The sequence below is a fragment of the Homo sapiens genome, chromosome 20, assembly GCF_000001405.40.
Source record: "Homo sapiens chromosome 20, GRCh38.p14 Primary Assembly".
NCBI classification, from domain to species: Eukaryota; Metazoa; Chordata; class Mammalia; order Primates; family Hominidae; genus Homo; species Homo sapiens.
In genome coordinates this window covers 51825196-51848591 of record NC_000020.11, presented here as the reverse complement: position 1 = coordinate 51848591, position 23396 = coordinate 51825196, and the positions used below count along the sequence as shown (strand labels likewise).

The window sequence follows — 23396 nt, the reverse complement described above, 5'->3', positions numbered from 1 at the left end:
GCCATCCTATTGTATGCTAAGTTATGGTGGCTGAGACTGATCCCTTCACAAAAGTCCTTTGTTTGGGGATTCTCTCAATAAGCTGGGACTCAGTGAATTATGCTTCTTCTTGGAAGCCTTTCTTAGCCGATTGTATTTACCTAAGGAAGCATTATTTTCTGTCTTGTTTTATTTTCCTCTTTTTCTCAAGCGTAATTCAGATATCAGGAAAGCATGAGAGAGATAAAGAAATTACCAACTAACAAGGAGTTTCTGCCTTCTAAGCTTTGAAAATGGTAGAGATTTTTTGTAACAAGCATGTATCACTTACAGAACTTTTTGAAAAATTGTATTTCTTCGGTACCGGGACCTTGTACCAGGAAAGATGTTTCTCCCCCAGCCCTGGAGATGACATGAGATGTTCTCATTCTGACATATTTCCCCTTGTCTGCTGTTCCTAGTCACTTTCATTGTTATTTAGTTTTACTTCAATATTCAGGGGTGGGAAGAAGGAAGAATAAACAGCTCTTTCCTATTCATTATTTTCATCCTAGAATAAGATCTTCATTATTGTAAAAATTAAAAAAAAAGGGGGAGTGCTTTAAAAGTAAAATTAAATTGGTTTTTAGTTTTAGTTTTGGTGCTGTCTTTAAAGAGAACTGGTGGGAACTTTAAGAAAAAAAAAAAAGCCGAGCCACATCAAATGAGAGCAGCAAAGGACGAAATGGCAATAAAGGAAGCATGGGGTGTGTGGGGGGTGTCCCCTCAGGATGGAGAATGTCCCTCTCCTTCCTTGAAAGGCAGCCTTCTTTTCATGGGAAACCAAGCCCCTGTGTTATTGGGCTCACAATGAGTTCTCCAGATGTAGTTCCCAGGAGTAAGGATTCTCAGAGAAATAAAAGAATCCTAGAAGCTTCTGTTTGTTTGTTTTGTTCTTGTTTTAGTAAGATTTTGAATAGGTAATGCATCCAAGTGCTTCAAATAATCACCAAGTTTAACAAATGGTGAAAAGTCTCTTAACCACTGTCCCACAGCCACCCATTTGTTCCCCTTCTCATAGTCAACCACTACTCCTTTATGTTGTATAATATGATACTCAGAGCTACATTGTGCATATACAACCAAATATAAATATGTATTCCACTCCCCGCTCCCTTTCTACACAATTGTCAACATATCATCCAGATGGCTCAGCCCCTTTGTCCTTGCATGAACCATTGCTCTTGGCCATTGTTCCATCTCAACACATATAGAGCTTGATCTTGTTTTTTTTTTTTTTTTTTTTTTGAAACAAGAGTATCGCTCTGTCACCCAGGCTGGAGTGCAGTGGCGCGATCTCGGCTCACTGCAACCTCCATCTCCCAGGTTTAAGTGATTCTCCTGAGTCAGCCTCCTGAGTAGCTGGGATTACAGATGTGTGCCACCACCCCCGGCTAATTTTTGTGTTTTTAGTAGAGACAGGGTTTCACCATGTTGGCCAGGCTGGTCTCAAACTCCTGACCTCAGGTGATCCTCCCACCTCAGCGTCCCAAAGTGCTGGGATTACAGGCACGAGCCACCACGCCCAGCCCTTTGATCTCTCTTTTCTATGACTGTATAGTGTTACGCTGTAAATGTCCTTTATTCTATTTAACCAATTCCCAAATGATGGGCCTTTATTGTTTTTGAGACAGTCTTTCTCTGTCACCCAGGCTGGAGTGCTGTGATGCGATCTTGGATCACTGCAACCTCCACCTCCCAGGTTCAAGCGATTCTCCTCTCTCAGCCTCCCAAGTAGCTGGGATTACAGGCACGCGCTACCACACCCAGCTACTTTTTGTGTCTTTAGTAGAGACGGGGTTTCACCATGTTGGCCAGGCTGGTATCAAACTCCTGACCTCAAGTGATCCGCCTGCCTGGGCCTCCCAAAGTGCTGGGATTACAGGCGTGAGCCACCGTGCCCGGGCTATGATGGGCCTTTAAGTTGTCTTCAATATTGGGCTATTACAAACAGTGCTCCTGTGAATTATCTCGGTTGCACATCATTTCTCACATGTGTGAGTAATTCTGAGGGCACCTCCCCCCAGGAGGAATTGGTAGGTCAAAGAGAGGAGGGACTTGAGATGTCCGTGTTATTTGTAAGATTAGTTTTTTAGGTCCTCAGCTTTATACTATCTTAATATTTAAATTTAAATTACCCAAGTAATGCATTAAGCAGTTCTGTCTGGCCGGGCGCGGTGGCTCACACCTGTAATCCCAGCACTTTGGGAGGCAGACGCGGGCAGATCATGAGGTTAGGAGATGGAGACCATCCTGGCAAACACGGTGAAACCCCGTCTCTACTGAAAAATACAAAAAAAATTAGCCAGGCGTGGTGGCGGGCGCCTAGATCAGTAAATCTAGGTTATCTGGTATATCTGGTAAAATGTGAAAGCCCCCTTTGAATTTCCCACTTACTATTCACCACCACATTCACCTTGAAATCCAAACTTCTCAAAATTAACCACCGTGAGCAGTTTAGTCCAGACTTTTCTATGCATTTATATTTCTATTCATATACACATATCTATGTATGTCTAGGATAATAGATATATTAGATACATAGATAATATATTTATCTACATATATAACACACACAAGTGTTTGTGTGTGTGTAGAAATATAAATATAGACTGGGTGTGGTGGCTCACGCCTATAATCCCAGCCCTTTGGGAGGCTGAGGTGGAAGGATTGCTTGAGTCCAGGAGTTTGAGACCAGCCTGGGCCATATAGTGAGACCTTGTATCTAGAAAAAATAAAAAATAAATAAAAATAAAAATAAAAAGGAAGAAAAGAAAGAAAAAAATTAGCTGGGTATGATAGCATGCACCTACAGTCCCAGCTGCTTGGGAGGCTGAGACGGGAGGATTGCGTGAGCCCAGGAGGCTGTGGTGGACTGTGATCTCCAGCCTGGGTGACAGAGTGAGAACCTGTCTTAAAAAGAAAAGAAAAGAAAAAGAACTGTTAACAGCAGTGCTTGTCAGACTTCAATGTGCTGAAGAATCAGCTGTTGATTTTGTTAAAATGATTCAGTGGGTCTTGGGTAGGATCTGAGATTCCCCATTTCTTTTTTTTTTTTTTTTTTTTGAGATGGAGTCTCGCTGTCGCCCAGGCTGGAGTGCAGGGGCACGATCTCGGCTCACCGCAAGCTCCGCCTCCCGGGTTCACGCCATTCTCCTGCCTCAGCCTCCCGAGTAGCTGGGACTGCAGGCACCCGCCACCACGCCCGGCTAATTTTTTGTATTTTTAGTAGAGACGGGGTTTCACCGTGTTAGCCAGGACGGTCTTGATCTCCTGACCTCATGATCCACGCGCCTCGGCCTCTCAAAGTGCTGGGATTTACAGGCGTGAGCCACTGCGCCCGGGCGAGATTCCCCATTTTTAGCAAGCTCCACTGTGATGCCAATGCTGCTGAATTTGGAGTGATTTTCAGTTTTAGCTTTTGTCACTGCTTTGTTTTGTTTTTACATAAACGAGATCATATCTACTTATTGCTCTGCAACTCACTTTTTTTCGGTAACGGTCATTCTGGAAAATAATATGGATGTGGCTTTGCAAGTCTAAGGAGTCTGTGTGTGCCTGCAGAGCTATAAACTTTTATGAAGGAAAAATCACTTTAATCGATTTTCAACCTGAATCTCTAAATCAACTTTAGAGGACCAATGGTGGTATTTGAAACAGTTTTTATTTGCTAATGAAATTAAGCTTCAAATGACATGAAAATTGTTTCTGATCAGCTCATTATCCTACCCTGACACTGAGCAATAGTGTGTCTTTTGAGAATGTAACAGACATGAAGACAGAAGAGATGAGATTCAGGTTTCTCGACATAATTAATTTCATTGGCAAAAAAAGGAAAAGTTTCCTCTGGATTGATTTACAAAGGGTGTTTCGTTTTGTTTTTATGTATATATTTTTGAGACAGAGTTTCTTTCTTGTCGCCCAGGCTGGAGTGCAATGGCACGATCTGGGCTCACTGCAACTTCTGCCTCCCGGGTTCAAGCAATTCTCCTGTCTCAGCCTCCCGAGTAGCTGGGATTACAGGCACATGCCACCATGCCCGGGTAATTTTTGTACTTTTTTTTTTTTTGAGACAGCTTCTTGCTTTTGTCCCCCAAGCTGGAGTGCAATGGCGCAATCTCGGCTCACTGCAACCTCCCCTTTCCGGGTTCAAGCAATTCTCCTGCCTCAGCCCCCCACCCACCCAGTAGCTGGGATTTCAGGCGCCTGCCACCACGACTGGCTAATTTTTTTGTATTTTTAGTAGAGATGGGGTTTCACCATGTTGGCCAGGCTGGTCCTGAACTCCTGACCTCAGGTGATCCACCCGCCTCAGCCCCCCAAAGTGCTGGGATTACAGGCGTGAGCCACCGTGCCCGGCCAATTTTTGTATTTTCAGTAGAGACGGGGTTTCATCATATTGGTCAGGCTGGTCTCAAACTCCTGACCTCAGGTGATCTGCCTGCCTCGGCCTCCCAAAGTGCTGGGATTACAGGTGTGAGCCACCATGCCCGGCCATTACAAAGGGCATTTTAATTAGCATAGAGAAAAACAAATAGGAACACAAAGTTCTGTCTTCAATGTAGATACTTCAATGTTGTTTCTTGCCTGTGCAAGGGAGGGAAGGATGGTTTGAATTTATGAAGATCACCTGAGGATCTACTGTTGCTCTATTTGCTCGAGCAGGAGGTCAGGGACCCCTCACTCTGCTCCTTATCCCTCATGCACTCCATCACCAAATCTCCAAGTACATCATGAGTCCATTTGTTTGCACCTTGCTACCACCCCACTATCCCGATCGTCCATCACCTGTAGACGGGCAGGAGCTTCCTCACTGGTCTTCCCATGCACTCTCACCTCCCTCCAGTGAGTTCTGCAACTGTAGCCGGCCGCGACTGCATTGCACCCAAACTGAATCCCATGAATGCTCAGAGTAAGACCCCATGGATGCCCGCCATCACCTGCCTCTGATCCATCTCAAGGTCTTTCCCAAGTGAGCCTCTGGCTTCCTCTCCAGTGTCACTGCTCAACCCTCTGCCCAGAGGCTATCTCTGCCCACTTTACCCAGTTGCCCCATCCTACAGGTTTCAGCTCCAAGGTCCCTTCCTCAGAGAAGCCCTCCTGGACCAGTTCCAACTCCTGGTGGCGGTGCCTGGCACTTTTTCTCCATATCCATTATCATACTGTGCAATAAGATCTTTCTGCGTACTTGGGGGTGATTATTTAACTGATGTCCACCTCCCTCCACTAGACTGTGTGCTAAATGAAGATGGGTAGGTACCATGTCTGTTTTTGCTTATTGTTGCATTCCAGTGCCAATCACAGGGCCTGGCATATAATAGGCAGTCCAGTAATAATCTGGTTATTTGAAAGAGCACAGGAAGGAAGACCCAGGGCATATTGGCTGTTGTTGCTGACACTGGTGCTGAAGGGCTTTGGTGAGGATGCTTAGGGAGGAAGTGATGAATCAGAGCAGATTGGGTTGGGATGGCAGAAAGGATCAGAAAGCTAAGCTAGACCCATTCTTTGCAGCTGGGCCAGAGGGTAGGACGGTGAGTAATGATAGCACTTCGGGGGTCACCTCGGGGATGATAGTCTTGTCAAGTCTTATACGTGACAGGGAGAAGCAATGGCTAATACATCTATATATCGATAATATGAATAAATAATTTTAGAAGTGTCTTCATGCACAAACCAATGATGAAAGCAGGCCATGAATGGAGACACATGATCAGTTTCACTGTGTGTCCTAAAACACATTATTTTTAGGAGTTTCCTAAAAATAAACCCCAAGGCTCAGTGACCAAACGTCAATGATGATAACAACGAGCGTTTTCCTTCCTAGGGTGGAACATCTTTTGAAGAGCTCAGACCCTGGACCCCTGATCTTAATGAGCTTTGCAGCCTTCAGTAAGTCGCCAACATATATCTGTACCTCTGAGCTCAACCAACCTTAAGTAATGTGTGGAGTGCTAGAGTACACCCTTGCAGGAGTCTCTCGGACCCACGCCAGATCTGAATCTTGTCTTGGCCAGTTTTCTCTATGGGTGAACCCTCCCAGCTTTCAGACCAACTGTGACCTCAGTTTGGAAAGTGGTGAGAATCACTGGTCCCACCTCATGGGGCATGACATAGATTGCATTGGTCAATCTATCTATAGCCCCAGACATTGGGGAGCACTCAGAAGATGGGGCTTTCCATTGTCCAAGCTAGTCCTGAACAACAAAGGGCTACCTGGGGATGCAGAGTAAGAAGTCAACTGAAGCAAGACTGAGATCACTTAGTAACTCCAAGCTGAAGAGTGGGCAAAGACCTCTGTTTCTTTTTTTTTTTTTTTTTTTTCCGAGATGGAGTTTCGCTCTTGTTGCCCAGGCTGGAGTGTAGTGGCATGATCCCAGCTCACTGCAACCTCCGCTTCCCAGGTTCAAGTGATTCTCCTTCCTCAGCCTCCCAAGTAGCTGGGATTACAGGCGTGTGCCACCACGCCTGGCTAATTTTTGTATTTTTAGTAGAGACGGGGTTTCAATATGTTGGTCAGGCTGGTCTCGAACTCCTGACCTCAGGTGATCCACCCGCCTCAGCCTCCCAAAGTGCTGGGATTACAGGCGTGAGCCACCGCGCCTGACCTGTTTCTTTTTTTTGAGACAGAGTCTCACTCTGTTGCCCAGGCGGAGTGCAGTGGCACAATCTCAACTCACTGCAGCCTCAACCTCCTCAGACTCAGGTGATCCTCCCACCTCAGCCTTCCGAGTAGCTGGGACTACAGGCGTGTACCACCATGCCCAGCTAATTTTCATATTTTTTGTAAAGCTGGGATTTCACCGTGTTGTCCAGGTTGGTCTCAAAACTCCTGGGCTCAAGCCATCCTCTCGCCTCAGCCTCTCATAGTGCTGGGATTACACACATGAGCCACTGTATCCGGGAAACCTCTGTTTCTTAACGCAGTCAATTCAGCACCAAAATATCCAATTCTGAAATGTGGAGACTTGAGCATTTGTCCAGCTTCTTTTTGTTTTGTTCACTGCTGCAGCGTCAGTGCTTAGAACAGCGTCTGGTATGGAATAGGCACTAGGATGAGGCCAGGCAGGCACCACGGGCAGGAAATGCAAAGGGAACCTTACGCTAGGGGTTTTGCAGGTGTAGCAGTGACAGAGAGTGAGGCCTTCTTGCCTTTTGTGCCTGAGGTGCCTGCCTTGCCTCTGGCTGGTCCTCAGCGTGGTCTGGTACATGGTAGGTATTCAGTACATAGCCATTGAATGAATGAGTCCAGTTTTATAGAAACAACCAGATTTTTTACTTAACCTTTTCTCTCAGATGTTTTGACCTCAGCGTTGAGCAGCCTCGGACTAACTTGAAATAATTTCTGTGATTCTGAGACCCCCCAGGAAATGTAGATATTGTAATCACCAAAATGTCCATGATAAAGTTGCCATTCAACCTTTTTGGAGCACTGTGTCTCTGTCTTCTGCAGTTCTTGGCAGGCATTTCACACGTGCCAGGACTATGAAATAGGTCATGGCAAGCAGGTGGGAGGAGAGAGAGAGAAAGAGAGAGAGAGAGAGAGAGAGAGAGAATGTAAGCACAGGTTGGCTACTGTCAAGGAAGATAATTTCCATGTAGTTAGAAAAGGCTGTGGAATGGCCATCTTCATTACCGTTTTAATCTCTGCTCTCACCTGCTTGCTGGCTAATTTCGTTCTGTAACTGACCTTCACGTCAAAAGCAAGGTTGTACCATTTTAATACTTTGGGACATGTTGCCTTTGCATTCCTGAAACCTTTTCAGTTTTTTGTTTTGTTTTGTTTGTTTTTTGTTTTTTTTTTTTTTGAGACAGAGTTTCACTCTTCATTGCTTAGGCTGGAGTGCAATGGCGTGATCTCGGCTCACTGCAACCTCCAGATCCTGGGTTCAAGTGATTCTCCTTCCTCAGCCTCCCAAATAGCTGGGATTACAGGCATGCGCCACCACGCCCAACTAATTTTGTATTTTTAGAAGAGACAGGGTTTCACCATGTTGGTCAGGCTGGTCTTGAACTCCTGACCTCAGGTAATCCACCCACCTCGGCCCCTCAAAGTGCTGGGATTACAGGCATGAGCCACCGTGCCCAGGCCAGTTTCATATTTTTTATTTAAAAAAAAATATTAGTCCGGGCGCGGTGGCTCACGCCTGTAATCCCAGCACTTTGGGAGGCCGAGGTGGGCGGATCACGAGGTCAGGAGATTGAGACCATCCTGGCTAACATGGTGAAACCCCGTCTCTACTAAAAAAATACAAAAAATTAGCTGGGCGGGGTGGAGGGCGCCTGTAGTCCCAGCTACTCAGGAGGCTGAGGCAGGAGAATGGCATGAACCCGGGAGGCGGAGCTTGCAGTGAGCCGAGATCGTGCCACTGCACTCCAGCCTGGGCGACAGAGCAAGACTCTGTCTCAAAAAAAAAAAAAAAAAATTATTTTGTATCATATTAAAAAAAATTTTGGCCGGGCGCGGTGGCTCACGCCTGTAATCTCAGCACTTTGGGAGGCCGAGGCAGACGGATCACGAGGTCAGGAGATCAAGAGCATCCTGGCTAACATGGTGAAACCCCATCTCTACTAAAAATACAAATAATTAGCCAGGCATGGTGGTGGGTGCCTGTAGTCCCAGCTACTTGGGAGGCTGAGACAGGAGAATGGCGTGAACCCGAGAGGCGGAGCTTGCAGTGAACCAAGATCGCACCACTGCACTTCAGGCTGGGTGACAGAGTAAGACTCCGTCTCAAAAAAAAAAATTCTTTTCATTTATATCCTATCAAAGTTTTTAAAAAATAATTCAGGCCGAGCGCGGTGACTGACACCTGTAATCCCAGCACTTTGGGAGGCTGAGGCAGGAGAATTGCTTGAACCTGGGAGACGGAGGTTGAGGTGAGCCGAGATCGTGCCATAGCACTCCAGCTTGGGCAACAAGAGTGAAACTCCGCCTCAAAAAAACAAAACAAACAAAACAAAAATAATAATTCAAACTTTGGAAAAGATAATACATTCATATGACCCAAAATGTAGAAAGAATGGGCACAGTGGAAAGTCTCCCCCAACTCTTAATCCTCCTCGACCTGGCTCCTGGCAGGTGCAGATATAGATTCTTATCCACCTCTGATTTTTTGTGTGTGAGCCACCGCCTAGCCTATCATCATCTATATTTGGTCCTGAGCCTTGGGGTTTATTTTGAGGGTACTCCGGGGCACAGAGTGGAGCTGATCACCTGCCTCTATTCATGGCCTGCTTTCATCATTGGTTTGCACAAGGGGACACTTTAAAAATTATTTATTTATATTATCAACACATGAATGAGTTAGCAAATTCAAATGATTTAGGCCGGGCGTGGTGGCTCACGCCTGTAATCCCAGCACTTTGGGAGGCCAAGGCGGGCAGATCACCTGAGGTCAGGAGTTTGAGACCAGCCTGGCCAACATGGTGAAACCCCGTCTCTACTAAAAATACAAAAATTAGCCAGGTGTGGTGGCACACACCTGTAATCCCAGCTACTCAGGAGGCTGAGGCAGGAGAATAGCTTAAACCCGGGAGGCAGAGTTTGCAGTGAGCTGAGATCGCACCACTGCACTCCAGCCTGGGCAACAGAGTGAGACTCCATCCCAGAAAAAAATATATAGATAGATAGATAGATAGATAGATAGATAGATAGATAGATAATACCAATGAACCTTTTCCTTCATAGGGTGGAGCATCTTTTCTAGAGCTCAGACCCTGAACCTCCACTGTAATGAGCTCTGTATCCTTCAGCAAGTCATCACCCTTCTCTCTGCCTCAGTTTCCTCTTCTGCAAAGTGGAGGCAATAGTGTTACCTTCCCCAAAGCGGTACCGGGAGGATGAAATGAGATCGTGCACACGCAGCTTTTAGAACTGTGCCTAGCCAGCCGGGCACAGTGGCTCACGCCTGTAATCCCAGCACTTTGGGAGGCCGAGGCAGGTGGGTCACGAGGTCAGGAGATCGAGACCATCCTGGCTAACACAGTGAAACCCAGTCTCTATTAAAAATACAAAAAATTAGCTGGGCGTGGTGGCAGGTGCCTGTAATCCCAGCTACTCTGGAGGCTGAGGAGGGAGAATCGCTTGAACCCGGGAGGTGGAGGTTGCGGTGAGCCGAGATCGCGCCACTGCACTCCAGCCTGGGCGACAGAGCGAGACTCCCTCCCCCCGCCCCCCCAAAAAAAAGAACTATGCCTAGCCCAGAGCACGTGCCTCCCAAAGCTACCTGTTCCTGTTCTCCTTACCATCTCTCGAGTATTTCAACATAGATAACTTCAGGAATCCAAAGCATTGAACACTAGGAGGAGAGAAAAAAAAAGCTTAATTCCAGAGGTTGTTCAAGAATCTATCTACCCATGGGAGGGCTGCGTTTGGTTTTCCCTCTTTGTCTCCGCCTTCTTTAAATAATGAACTGAAGTCTCTGGGTTTCTGCAGGCTGCACAAGTTGCCTAAGGCCATTGGGCCAGGGCAAACCTGGGCCATTTATTCTCCCCCTTTCAGCCTGTTCCTGTGTTTATACTACCCTGTTTAGTTTAATGCACATCCCAAGATTACCCCTAATACACATCCTCAGAAATGTTTATGGAAATTCTTTATAAGCAAACGGCTTTATTTCCCTTGAGTAGCTGCAGATACAAAGCAGCGGTCACTTTTTTTATTGACAGGCTTAAACACCTCGCGATACCCCCAGCCCCCACCCTGAGTAGATCTGTTACCCCAGCCCACCCACACATCCATCGTGGGATTCTGCAGTTATAAGAAGCCAAGACTTGCCCACTCTGGATCCATCCTAGATTCCCAGCCCCTAGCCATTGTTCCAAAGCGGGAATCTTTTTTTGTTTTGTTTTGTTTTGTTTTTCTAGAAACAGAGTCTCATGCTGTTGCCCAGACAGTGGCAGGATCAAAGCTCACTGCAGTTTCCAACTCCTGGGCTCAAGCAATGCTCCCACCTCACCTCGCTGGAACTACAGGCATGCGCCACCATGCCTGGCTAACTTTTTAAAAAAATTTTTGTAGAATCAGGTATGGTGGTTCACACCTATAATCTCAGCACTTTGGGAAGCCAAGAAGGAAGGATCACTTGAGGCCAGGAGTTCAAGACCAGTCTGGTTAATATGGCGAAACCTCGTCACTACAAAAAAATTAGCCAGGTGTGGTAGTGCACGCCTGTAGTCCAAGCTACTTGGGAGGCTAAGGTGAGAGGATCACTTGAGCCTTGGAGGTTGAGGGTGCAGTGAACTATGATAGTGCCACTGCACTCCAATGCAGGTGGCAGAGCAAGACCTTGTCTCAAAAAAAAAAAAAAATTTGTTTAGAGATGGAGTCTTGCTATGTTGCCCAGGCTGGTCTCAAACAACTAGGCTCAGATGATCATCCCAACTCAGCCTCCCAAAAAGCTGGGATCACAGGCATGACCACTGTGCCCCAAAGCAGAAATCTTGACAACTCATAGACTTTTTGTTTCTTTCCTCTGCTGGTGGTTTCGTTTGGAGAGGGGGCAGAAAAGAGAGAAGAGAACCACATATCATTTTGTGTTTGCTTCCCATCCCACCCCCGCAAAGATTTACTGGATGCCTATTAAGTGCCAGGCACTGTTCTAGGTGATGGGGATTCAGCAGTGAGCATGGGAGACCTCTCAACTATCAGATCAATTGCATTCTGGTGGTAGAGGTGGACCGTAAGCAAAACAAAGAAGTGCGTAAATAGAACTGCTGAGGGTGATTAATGCTGTGAGAATGGTAATATAAAATAATGCAATTAAGAGCTGGCCGGGTGCAGTGGCTCACGCCTGTGATCCCAGCACTTTGGGAGGCCAAGGCAGGTGGATCACAAGGTCAGGAGACCGAGACCATCCTGGCCAACATGGTGAAACCCCATCTCTACTAAAAATACAAAAATTAGCCGGGTGTGGTGGCATGCGCTTATAGTCCCAGCTACTCAGGGGGCTGAGGCAGGAGAATCGCTTGAACCCGGGAGGTGGAGGTTGGAGTGAGCTAAGATCGCACCACTGCACTCCAGCCTGAGCAACAGAGCAAGAGTCCATCTCAAAAAAAAAAAAAAAAAAAAAGAAATAGGGAATCTCGGCCAGGCATGGTGGCTCATGCCTATAATCCCAGCAATTTAGGAGGCTGAGGTGAGCAGATTGCTTGAGTTCAGGAGTTTGAGACCAGAGTGGACAACATGGCAAAACCCTGTCTCTACTAAAAACACAAAAGTTAGCTGGGCATGGTGGCTTGTGTCTCCTGTCGTTCCAGCTGCTCGGGAGGCTGAGGCACAGGAATTGCTTGAACCTGGGAGGCAGAGGTTGCAGTGGGCCGAGATCGCATCACTGCACTCCAGCCTAGGTGACAGAGCAAGACTCTGTCTCAAAAAAAAAAAAAAAGAAAAGAAAACAAACAAACAAACAAAAAAAAATGGTGGGCAAGGAAGACCTCCTTGAAGAGGTAACATTTGAGCAAAGACCTGAATGAAGTGAGGGAGAAAGTTCTTGGAAGGGTATTCCAAGCCCGGAGAACAGCAAGTGCACAGGCACTGAAGCTGGATCTGCTTGTTATATTGGAGGAAAAGCAGGAAGACCCATGTAACTAAAATCTAGTGATCCAGGGGAGAATGGTAGGAAGTCACATTGGAGAGGCAGGCAGAGACCAGATCATTAGGGCCTTGGAAGAGGGCCTTAGAACAAAGATGTGTAGATTTTGTTCTAGTTTCAATGGAAAGCCATCCAGAGTCTTACGCAGGAAAAGACATGATGGGATCCGTGTTTTGTTTTTGTTTGTTTGTTTGTTTGTTTTTGAGACGGAGTCTCGCTCTGTTGCCCAGGCTGGAGTGCAATGGTGTGATCTCTGCTTGCTGCAACCTCAGCCTCCCAGGTTCAAGCGATTCTCCTGCCTCAGCCTCCCAAGTAGCTGAGACTATAGGCGCCCGCCACCACACTTGGCTAATTTTTATATTTTTAGTAGAGACAGGGTTTCACCATATTGGCCAGGCTGGTCTCGAACTCCTGACCTTAAGAGATCTGCCCTCCTCGGCCTCCCAAAGTGCTGGGATTGCAGACGTGAGCCACCATGCCCGGCTGGGATCCATGTTTTTAAAGATCCCTTGGCTCCTGTACAGAGGATGATCTCTAGAAGGGGTGCAGTGAAAGCGGGAAAACAAGCTAAGAGGTTACTGCTTTGTTCAAGAGAGTGTCCAAGAGAGGACGGCAGGGCCGTCTCATCAGATCTAACTAATGAGATGAAGAGAAGCAATGAATTCAGAATACAGCGTGTCCTTGGAGGGGTATCCAGCAGGTTCACTGGTGGAGTGAAAGTGGCAATGATGAGAAGGATCATGGACAGCTTGAGCAACTGGGCTGGTGAGGGTGCCATTTTCCAAGATGGGTAGGATTAGAAAACGAGCCAACTGGACGGGGAAGTTTGAGATGCCTGAAGACGCTCAATGGAGTTGTTATGTGAAAGTACAACACTTTAGGTTAATAATAGCGAAAGCCCACACCGACAACATTTGCCACACGCCAGGCACGTTTTTGTGTTTGTTTGACACTCTGTCGCCCAGTCTGGAGTGCAGTGGCGCAGTCTCGGCTCACTGCAAGCTCCGCCTCCAGGGTTCATGCCATTCTCCTGCTTCAGTCTCCCGAGTAGCTGGGACTACAGGTGCCCACCACCACGCCCAGCTAATTTTTTGTATTTTTAGTAGAGACGGGGTTTCACTGTGTTAGCCAGGATGGTCTCTATCTCCTGACCTCATGATCCACCCGCCTCAGCCTCCCAAAGTGCTGGGATTACAGGCATGAGCCACAGGCATGAGCCACCGCGCCCTGCCTATGCCAGGCACTTTTTAAGCAGTCTCCCACCCCTTATTTCACAGTATCCTGCAAAGTGATTGTAAAAATATTATCCCTATTTTATTTTACTTTATATTTTAGATAGGTCTTGCTCTGTTGCCCAGGCTGGAGTGTAGTGGCACCATCACAGCTCACTGCAGCTTGACCACACAGGCTCAAGCAATCCTCCAGCCTCAGCCTCCTAAGTAGCTGGAACTACAGGCACATACCACCATGCCTGGCTTTTTTTTTGAGATGGAGTCTCGCTCTGTAGCCCAGGCTGGAGTATAGTGGCCCAATCTCAGCTCACTGCAACTTCTGCCTCCTGGGTTCAAGTGATTCTCCTGCCTCTGCCTCCCAAGGTGCTGGATTACATGTGCGAGCCACCAAGCCCAGGCTATCCCCATTTTCTAGATGATGAAACACAAACACTGAGCAGTTTAAATAATTTGCCCAAGGTGGCCGGGCATGGTGGTTCACGCCTGTAATCCCAGCACTTTGGGAAGCTGAGGCGGGCAGATCACCTGAGGTCAGGAGTTCGAGACCAGTCTGGTCAACATGGTGAAACCCCGTCTCCACTAAAAAATACAAAAATTAGCCAGGTGTGGTGGCGGGTGCCTGTAATCCCAGCTACTCAGGAGGCTGAGGCAGGAGAATCACTTGAACCCGGGAGGCAGAGGTTGCAGTGAGCTGAGATCACGCCATTGCCCTCCAGCCTGGGTGACAGAGTGAGACTCCGTCTCAAAAATGAATAAATAAATAAATAAATAATTTGCCCAAGGTGACACAACCTGGATTTAAACTCATGGATGTCGGCCTCTGCTCTGCGTTGAATTGTATCCTCCCAAAAAGGAGATGTTGGAGCTCTGAGACCCAGCACCTCAGAATGTGTTTCTACTTGGAAATAGGGTCTTTACCAAGACCCTATTCCAATAGGACTGGTGACCTGTGGGAGAAATGTGGACACAGAGACAGACAGACATAGAGGGAAGATGACGGCAGAGTCACAGGGAGAAGACGGTCATCTACGAGCCAAGGAGAGAGGCCTGGCACAGATCCTTCCCTCACAGCACCCAGAGAGCCTTCAGACAATACATCTGTGCTGTGTAAGCCGCTCCGTCTGTGGCTCTCTGTTACAGCAGCCCCAGAAAACAAATAGAGACTCTTAATTGCCAAGCCATGTTCCTCCCATAGTACGATTTCTCATCAGATAGTCTATCTTCGCTGCTAAAACAGGTATTTCTGGATGGTAGAGGTCATGTGTAGCTTGCATATTTAGTATGAGGTATGTGAAAGTCACCTCATAGATATTAAATTATTTGGCTACAGCTTTGAGCTTGGCCTCTCTCTTAAGGATTACCTTGCCATAGGGACAGGAAGCCATCGTGATATAAAGGCTGAAGTTTCTGTAAGATTTTGATTTTTAATCTAACATGATATTAACAACTGTGCCCGTTGGGCGTGATGGCTCACACCTACAATCCCAGCACTTTGGGAGGCCAAGGCGGAGGATCACTTGAGGTCAGGAGTTTGAGACCAGCCTGGCCAACATGGTGAAACCCCGTCTCTACCAAAAATACAAAAATTAGCCGGGCTTGGGGGTGCATGCCTGTAATCCCAGCTACTTGGGAGGCGAAGGCAGGAGAATTGCTTGAACCCAGGAGGTGGAGGTTGCAGTGAGCCAAGACTGTACCACTGCGCTCCAGCCTCGGCAACAGAGTGAGACTCTGTCTCAAAACAGACAAACAAACAAAATAATAACTGTACCTATACAAGGTCCCCAAGATAATTAAAAGGCTCACTTGAGCAGAGTAACTGAGGAGAGTCTTTTGGGGTTCTTTGTTTTTTTTTTTTAGAGACAGTCTCACTCTGTCGCCCAGTCTAGAGTGCAGAGGCGCAATCTTGGCTCACTGCAACCTCCGCCTCCCAGGTTCAAGAGATCCTCCTGCCTCGGCCTCTCAAAGTGCTGGGACTACAGGCACATGCCACCATGTCCGGCTGAGGAATGTTTAATAAAAGGGGTATTTACCAAGATATAAGCAAGGTATAGAGAAATCAGCAGGGTTGATGAAGCACCCCGGGGCTACCAACAACCAAAAGCCCTTCCCTCTCCAAGGCCTCCAAAGGCAGCAGGAGGGAGTGGTTATCAGAAAATGGCAAGATCCATAGGAAAAAGGCCACCCCATGGGAGCTGTGGGTTTCAGTAGAGGGACACAGCCACTGCCAGACCATGGCCAGCCAGGGAGTTAATAGCCCAGCCCCACCTTGGCCCTCCCATCTCCCACTCCTCCTTATTGGCTGAACCCAGCAAGAAACCAGATGTCACAGAACCAGGAGATGTGGTCCCCACTGCCCGGCCTCTTGGGCACAGAGGAGGGAAGAGAAAATGGAGAGTGGATCTGGAGGGGCAAATGAAGTATTAATATTCTGTACACTCAGAATGTCCACAGAGTGAACACTGGCTTGCCGGCTGACCCCATTTCTTGAAAATCATCCTATCCCTGCAGGTTATTTATGTTGTTACCCTTTTGCAAGAACCACATAAAATATTTTACATGCTTTTAAAACTCATAAATGTAATGAAGCCAAGATGTTTCAGCAAATGTGCTCAATGGGCAAATCCTTCCAAAGATCTGCTCTCAGCTGACGTCAGGACAAAAGGCACATCTCACGACCTGCAGAGCGTCTGACGTTAAAGCCAATAAATTCATCCCCCTGACCCACATGGCTTCCAGAATGTACAAGCTGTCAGTGGATCTTAAAAATGTATCTATTCCTTCATTCACTTCCTGCCGTTCGTCTCTTGCAAGTATTTACTGCTCTTTAAAAACTGAACTCCACCAGCTGGAAATGCATTAGTGCAGGGAGATGGCTGTACTTTGTTCCGGCAGGAATTGTGCATGCAACTTCCAATCTGACTTTTCTGAGACATTAATAAAAACACATGCGTCCTGAAATTTGGGTTGATAATCTTTGGGGGCTCAGTGTAAAAACCAGTAAGAGTTTTAGCACAAAGCCTGGCATTCAAAAAGAGAAGCTGGGCCGGGCGCGGTAGCTCCCGCCTGTAATCCCTGCACTTTGGGAGGCCGAGGCGGGCGGATCAGGAGGTCAGGAGATTGAGACCATCCTGGCTAACACGGTGAAACCCCGTCTCTACTAAAAATACAAAAAAAAATTAGCCGGGCTTGGTTGCAGGCGCCTGTAGTCCCAGCTACTCGGAAGGCTGAGGCAGGAGAATGGCCTGAACCCGGGAGGCAGAGCTTGCAGTGAGCCGAGATCGTGCCACTGCACTCCAGCCTGGGCGACAGAGCGAAACTCCGTCTCAAAAAAAAAGAGAGAAGCTTGACTGGAATTTGAATATGTATCGTGTGTCAAGCATGGCTCTAGCCTTTTACATGTGATAATCACATTCATCCTCCTAATAGATGTACAATGCAGGTGTTATTATCCCCATTCTACAGATGGGTAAGTGAGGCCCAGAGGGAGCTGAACCAACATGACTGGTGCCAGAAAGATTGCAGAGGGGAGAGCTAGCAGTCAATTCCAGGCTGTGTAATTTCAGAGGGTACTCTTAACCTCTATGCCTCTGTAAATGAACAATATTCTTGAAGCCAGGCGCAGTGGCTCATGCCTGTAATCCCAGCACTTTGGGAGGCCAAGGCGGGCAGATCACCTAAGGTCAGGAGTTTGAGACCAGCCTGACCAACATGACAAAACTCCATCTCTACCAAAAATACAAAAATTATCTGGGTGTGGCAGTGCAGGCCTGTAGTCCCAGCTACTAGGGAGGTGAGGCAGGAGAATCGCTTGAACTCAGGAGGCAGAGGTTACAGTGAGATGAGATCATGCCTCTACACTCCAGCCTTGGCAGCGAAGAATATTCTTGAAAAGTATAGTTTAGGTCAATAGCATGTGTAGACAGATACGGGTTTGAGTATTTGATAAATGAGTATCGATGATCTCTCTCTCTCTCTCTTGCTCTCTCTCTCTTGCTCTCTTGCTCTCTCTCTCTTGCTCTCTCTCTTGCTCTCTCTCTCTCTCTCTTTTTCTTTCTCTCTTTCTTTCGTGACAGAGTCTCACTCTGTCACCCAGACTGGAGTGCAGTGGCACAATCTCGGCTCACTGCAACCTCCACCTCCCAGGTTCAAGCAATTATCCTGCCTCAGCCACTTGAGTAGCTGGGACTTTTCTGTATTTTCGGGAAAGACGGGGTTTCACAGTGTTGTCCAGGCTGGTCTGGAACTCCTGACCTCAAGTGATCTGCCTGCCTCGGCCTCCCAAAGTGCCGGGACTACAGGCGGGAGCCACTGCGCCTGGCTCTTTTTCTTTTTTTTACCCTCCGACCCTCGATATCTGATGATGGAATATCTTGAGCCTCAGTCTTCAGGTCTACAGCTCGGGCTGAAATGAAGTTCTGATCCATGAGTACACCCAACACCCTAAGTTCTGGGTACCCGCTGGGTGCCTGGCACTCCAGCAGGCACTGAAAATACACATTTGGGTAAGATGGATGTGGCCTCTGCTTGGATGGTACCTGTAGTCTGGAGCAAGAAAGAGGTCTTAGCCAATCTCACAGATAAAAAATAGTAACTTCAACAAATGCTATTGGAGAAGTGCCCAGCTCTCCAAGGGTCCTGTGTGAGGGAACCTGACCTAGTTGGGGAGAAAGAAGAGACAAGACTGAAGACAGATGCCTGAGCTAGGGGTGAAGATTGAGTCATTAACAAGATCAGGGAAGGGGCCAGTCTTGGTGACTCATTCCCGTAATCCCAGCATTTTGGGAGGCTGAGGCGGGAGGATAGCTTCAGCCCAGGAGTTCGAGACCAGCCTACGCAACAAAGCAAGACCCCATCTCTACAAAAAAAAAAAAAAAAAAAAAAAAAAAAAAATCAGGCCAGGCGCAGTGGCTTATGCCTGTAATCCCAGAACTTTCGGAGGCCAAGGCAGGCAGCTCACCTGTGGTCAGGAGTTCAAGACCAGCCATGTCCAACATGGTGAAACCCTGTCTCTACTAAAAATACAAAAATTAGCCAGGCATGGTGGCGGACACCTGTAATCTCAACTACTTAGGAGACTGAGGCAGGAGAATCACTTGAACCCGGGAGGCAGAGGTTGCAGTGAGCTAAGATCGCTCCACTGTACTCCAGCCTAGACAGCAGAAGGAGAGTCTGTCTCAAAAAAACAAACAAAAAATCAGGGGCCGGGGGTGTGGTGGCAGATGTCTGTAATCCCAGCACTTTGGGAGGCTGAAGCAGGTTGATTACTTGAGGTCAGGAGTTCGAGACCAGCCTGGCCAACATGGTGAAACCCCATCTCTACTAAAAATACAAAAATTAGCCATGCTTGCTCACTTGAACCCAGCAGGTGGAGGTTGCAGTGAGCTGAGATCGTGCTATTGCACTCCAGCCTGGGTGACAGAGTGAGACTCTGTCTCAAAATAATAATAATAATAATAATAATCAGGCAAGGCACAGTATTTCAGGCAGGGAGAATAGCAGGTGCAAAGGCCCTATGGTAAAGGAGAGGGTCTGAATGGAAGGTAATAGGAGGATACCGTTACCTATGTGGTAGTCAGGGAAGAGCTCTGAAAAATGGACAGGAGAGCAGAGACCCAGATAAAGCGAGGGACTGAGCCACGTGGATCTCTGCAGCAAAAATATCCTAGGGAGAGAGGAAAGTGAGGCAAAGGCAGGAGCCTGGTGGGAGGACTCAGGGAAAAGCCAGGGAGCCAGGGGGCCAGAGCAGAAGTGGGAACAGGGCTGAGAAAGGAAGTGAAACCAGAGAAGCAGCAGGGGACCGGCCCAGCACGGAGGGTTTCCAGGGCCTGGGAAGGCCTTGGGCTTTGCTCCTGGTCCCCAGCTTCTCTCCTCCTGTTAACGGATGTCCCTCCAAAAACCAATCCCGCCGCCTCCTAGCCCTGCCTGCCACCTCAGAACCTTCCTTACTCCTGATCCCCCATGAATATGCAAGCTTTCCTTTTGAATTACATCCTTCCCTTCAGCACTTATAATCTCTCCCATCTTTAAAACAAAAACAAAACCCTCCCTTGGCCACCATCCGTCTAGCAACTGCCCGGTCTCTCTCCTCCCTTAACAGCCTCCCTTAGCAAAAGGTGCAGGTCCACTTATTTCTCATTTCCCCTCCATTGATGTCTCCTGTCCCTGGAAGCGGCCCCCCAGTGTGCTTCATGACTCTCATCCCTTCTCTCAAATCCAACAGCCCTTTTCCCAGCCCTGACGTTGATCTCTCAGCAGCATCAAGATACTAAGGAGTGTGGATAAGTCCTGCTTTCCAGAGAGAGCCCTCAGGTAACCATCACTCACCCCTTTGGGCTACTCCCATTTCTTTTTTTTTTTGAGACGGAGTCTTGCTCTGTCCCCCAGGCTGGAGTGCAATGGCGCCATCTCAGCTCACTGCAACCTCTGCCTCCTGGGTTCAAGTGATTCTCCTGCCTCAGCCTCCTGAGTAGCTGGGATTATAGGCATGCGCCACCATGCCCAGCTAATTTTGTGTATGTTTAGTAGAGACAGAGTTTCACCATATTGGTCAGGCTGATCTCAAACTCCTGACCTCAGGTGATCCACCCACCTCAGCCTCCCAAAGTGCTGGGATTACAGGTATGAGCCACTGCGCCCAGCCTACTCCCATTTCTTAATGGCTCTTTCTCTGTCTTCGACCTATGACCACACTCCCCTGCGGCACCAAGGCAGACCCAAGGACATTGTCACTTCTTTTTTTTTTTTTTTTTTTTTTGTGATGGAGTTTCACTTTGTCGCCCAGGCTGGAGTGCAGTGGCATGATCTCGGCTCACTGCAACCTCCGCCTCCCAGGTTCAAGCAATTCTCCTGCCTCAGCCTCCCAAGTAGCTGGGATTACAGGCGCCCACCACCACGCCTGGCTAATTTTTGTACTTTTAGTAGAGACGGGGTTATACCATGTTGGCCAGGCTGGTCTCAAACTCCTAACCTCAGGTGATCCTCTCACCTTGGCCTCCCAGAGTGCTAGGATTGCAAGCATGAGCCATCGTGCCCAACCAACATTGTCACTTCTTACTAGATACTCTCTCCCCAGGCATCTCCTCCTGCAGCCCCCACACCATCCATGAACCAGCATCTTCCCAAGTCCTGTCTCCACCCCAGACATCTCTTGTGAAGTCCAATGACCTCAAGCAATCCCGCGGGATTTGCTTCTTCAGCAATAGTGGCTGCTGTGAGTGGAGCCCTGTTCTAAATGCTGGGATCCAGAAGTGAGAGAAACAGTTCAAATTCCCAGCTCCTGCAGTTCTAGAGGAAAAGAGAGACAAACAAATAAGTAGAGAATGTGATGTTGGGTATGGAACTTTCTTCTATGACAACAATAGAGCAGGAAAAGTGAGCTCCAGCGACGGAAGCGCCCGTCCACTGCGGGGCCACAGTGTCCGTGATCGGGGGTGCTCCCTGGCTGCCGGATTGCACTGTGGATCTCAGTACTTACAGAGCAGGAAAAGTGAGCTCCAGCAATGGAAGCGCCCATCCATTGCGGGGCCACAGTGTCTGTGATCGGGGGTGCTCCCTGGCTGCCGGATTGCACTGTGGATCTCAGTACTTGCAGCACATAGTAGGTGTTCAGGAAATATCTGTTGGACAAGGATCAATCTTGTAGTATTATCAGGAGAAATATAAGAGATACAGTGTCTATGCAATGTCTTCCACTAAGAAGAAGGATGATACAAGATGGTTCAATCAAATGTATTGTTTATTTTTTGATGATAAATATTTTGTATTAACATAATAAATACTTACACAAGCATTTTTTTTTTTTTTTTGAGACAGAGTTTTGCTCTTGTTGCCCAGGCTGGAGTGCAAAATGGCGTGATCTCAGCTCACCACAACCTCCACCTCCTGGGTTTAAGCGATTCTCCTGCCTCAGCCTCCCAAGTAGCTAGGATTACAGGTGCCTGCCACCATGCCTGGCTAATTTTGTATTTTTAATAGACAAGGGGTTTCTCCATGTTGGTCAGGCTGGTCTCGAACTCCCGACCTCAGGTGATTCGCCGCCTCAGCCTCCCAAAGTGCTGGGATTACAGGTGTGATATGCAAGCATTTTGTAAATATGATGATGATGATGATATTCATCATTGTTCCTATAGTGCTCTTAGTTTCGTTTTCCCAAGTGGTAGCACGCACATGACCTCATCAGATGCTTTGAATAGGTGTCTATGTTAGGTGAAGATAGCCACCGAGGGAGGTTTTACGGACTGGGTGGAGCAGTGTTGTTGGGCAATGTGGTCCAGGTGTGTAAGACAGGCTGCCACCCCCTCTCCCCACTTGGTGATTACAAAGCAACATCTGCTGGTACCAAGACAGTCATAATCTCTCTCTCTCTCTCTCTCTCTGTGTTTTTGTTTGTTTGAGATGGAGTCTCACTCTGTCTCCCAGGCTGGAGTGCAGTGGTGCGATCTCGGATCACTGCAACCTCCGCCTCCCAGGTTCCAGAGTTTCTCCTGCCTCAGCCTCCCAAGTAGCTAGGATTATAGGCACCCACCACCACGCTCAGATAATTTTTTGTATTGTTAGTAGAGATGGGGTTTCACTATGTTGGCCACGCTGATCTCGAACTCCTGACCTCAGTTGATCCACCCACCTTGGCCTCCCAAAGTGCTGGGATTACAGGCGTGAGCCACCGCAACCAGCCTGTTTTTTTTTTTTTTTTAAAGACAAGGGGCTGGCTCTGTCACCCAGGCTGGAGCGCAGCAGTGAGATCACAGCCTTGAACTCCTGAAGTCAATGGATCCTCCCACCGCAGATTCCCGAGAAGCTGGGACTACAAGCATGCGCCACCATACCCAGTTAATATTTTTAAAAATTTTTTTGTAGGCTGGGCACGGTGATAGAGACAAGGGTTTCACTATATTGCCCAGACTTGTCTTGAACTCCTGGCCTCCGGTGATCCTCCTGCCTGGGCCTCCCAAAGTGCTTACAGGTGTAAGCCACCGCACCAGGCCCAAGAAGGCCATGATCTCTGAAGGAGGTCAGGTGTCACCTTCTCAGAGCAGCCTCCCTAACCATTGGGTCCAAAGTCTTCTCCCCACTGTCAACTTCATGGGGTCTGTGCTCAGAAGGGCATCATGCTTGGCTGAACACTCTGCTGTTAGCATCTTGCATTTCTTTTTTTTTTTTTTTTTTTTTTTTGAGACTGAGTCTTGCTCTTTCGCCTAGGCTGGAGTGCAGTGGCGCGATCTTGGCTCACTGCAAGCTCCGCCTCCCAGGTTCCCGCCATCCTCCTGCCTCAGCCTCCCAAGTAGCTGGGACTACAGGCGCCCGCCACCACGCCTGGCTAATATTTTGTATTTTTAGTAGAGACGGGGTTTCACCGTGTTAGCCAGGATGGTCTCGATCTCCTGACCTTGTGATCCACCCTCCTCGGCCTCCCGAAGTGCTGGGATTACAGGTGCGAGCCACCACGCCCGGCTTGGAGTCCTTATTTTCATTTTGCACTGGGCCTAACTAATTATATAGCAGGCCCTACCCCAACTTGCTAGGCTCCCTCTCAATTAGAGAGGTAGGAACTGGAAGG

General features: G+C 47.9%; 1 long non-coding RNA gene across 1 annotated transcript in view, besides 1 other annotated feature; it reads left to right on the top strand.

Moving 5' to 3' along the window:
- LINC01429 (long intergenic non-protein coding RNA 1429) overlaps window positions 1-16795 on the top strand; it is a 31117-nt gene extending 14322 nt beyond the window's left edge. Inside the window, exons 2-3 of the long non-coding RNA NR_110016.1 lie at window positions 5843-5907; window positions 14623-16795. This is a non-coding gene — a long non-coding RNA (long intergenic non-protein coding RNA 1429). The remainder of the gene's footprint in view (window positions 1-5842; window positions 5908-14622) is intronic.
- Window positions 1613-2113: an enhancer, noted in NCBI's record as "H3K4me1 hESC enhancer chr20:50463018-50463518 (GRCh37/hg19 assembly coordinates)". NCBI's record gives its function as "activates a minimal SCP1, AML or CMV promoter by ChIP-STARR-seq in primed H9 embryonic stem cells {active_cell/tissue: H9 hESC(primed)}" and the evidence as "EXISTENCE:reporter gene assay evidence [ECO:0000049][PMID:30033119]".
- Window positions 16796-23396: the final 6601 nt, after the last annotated feature.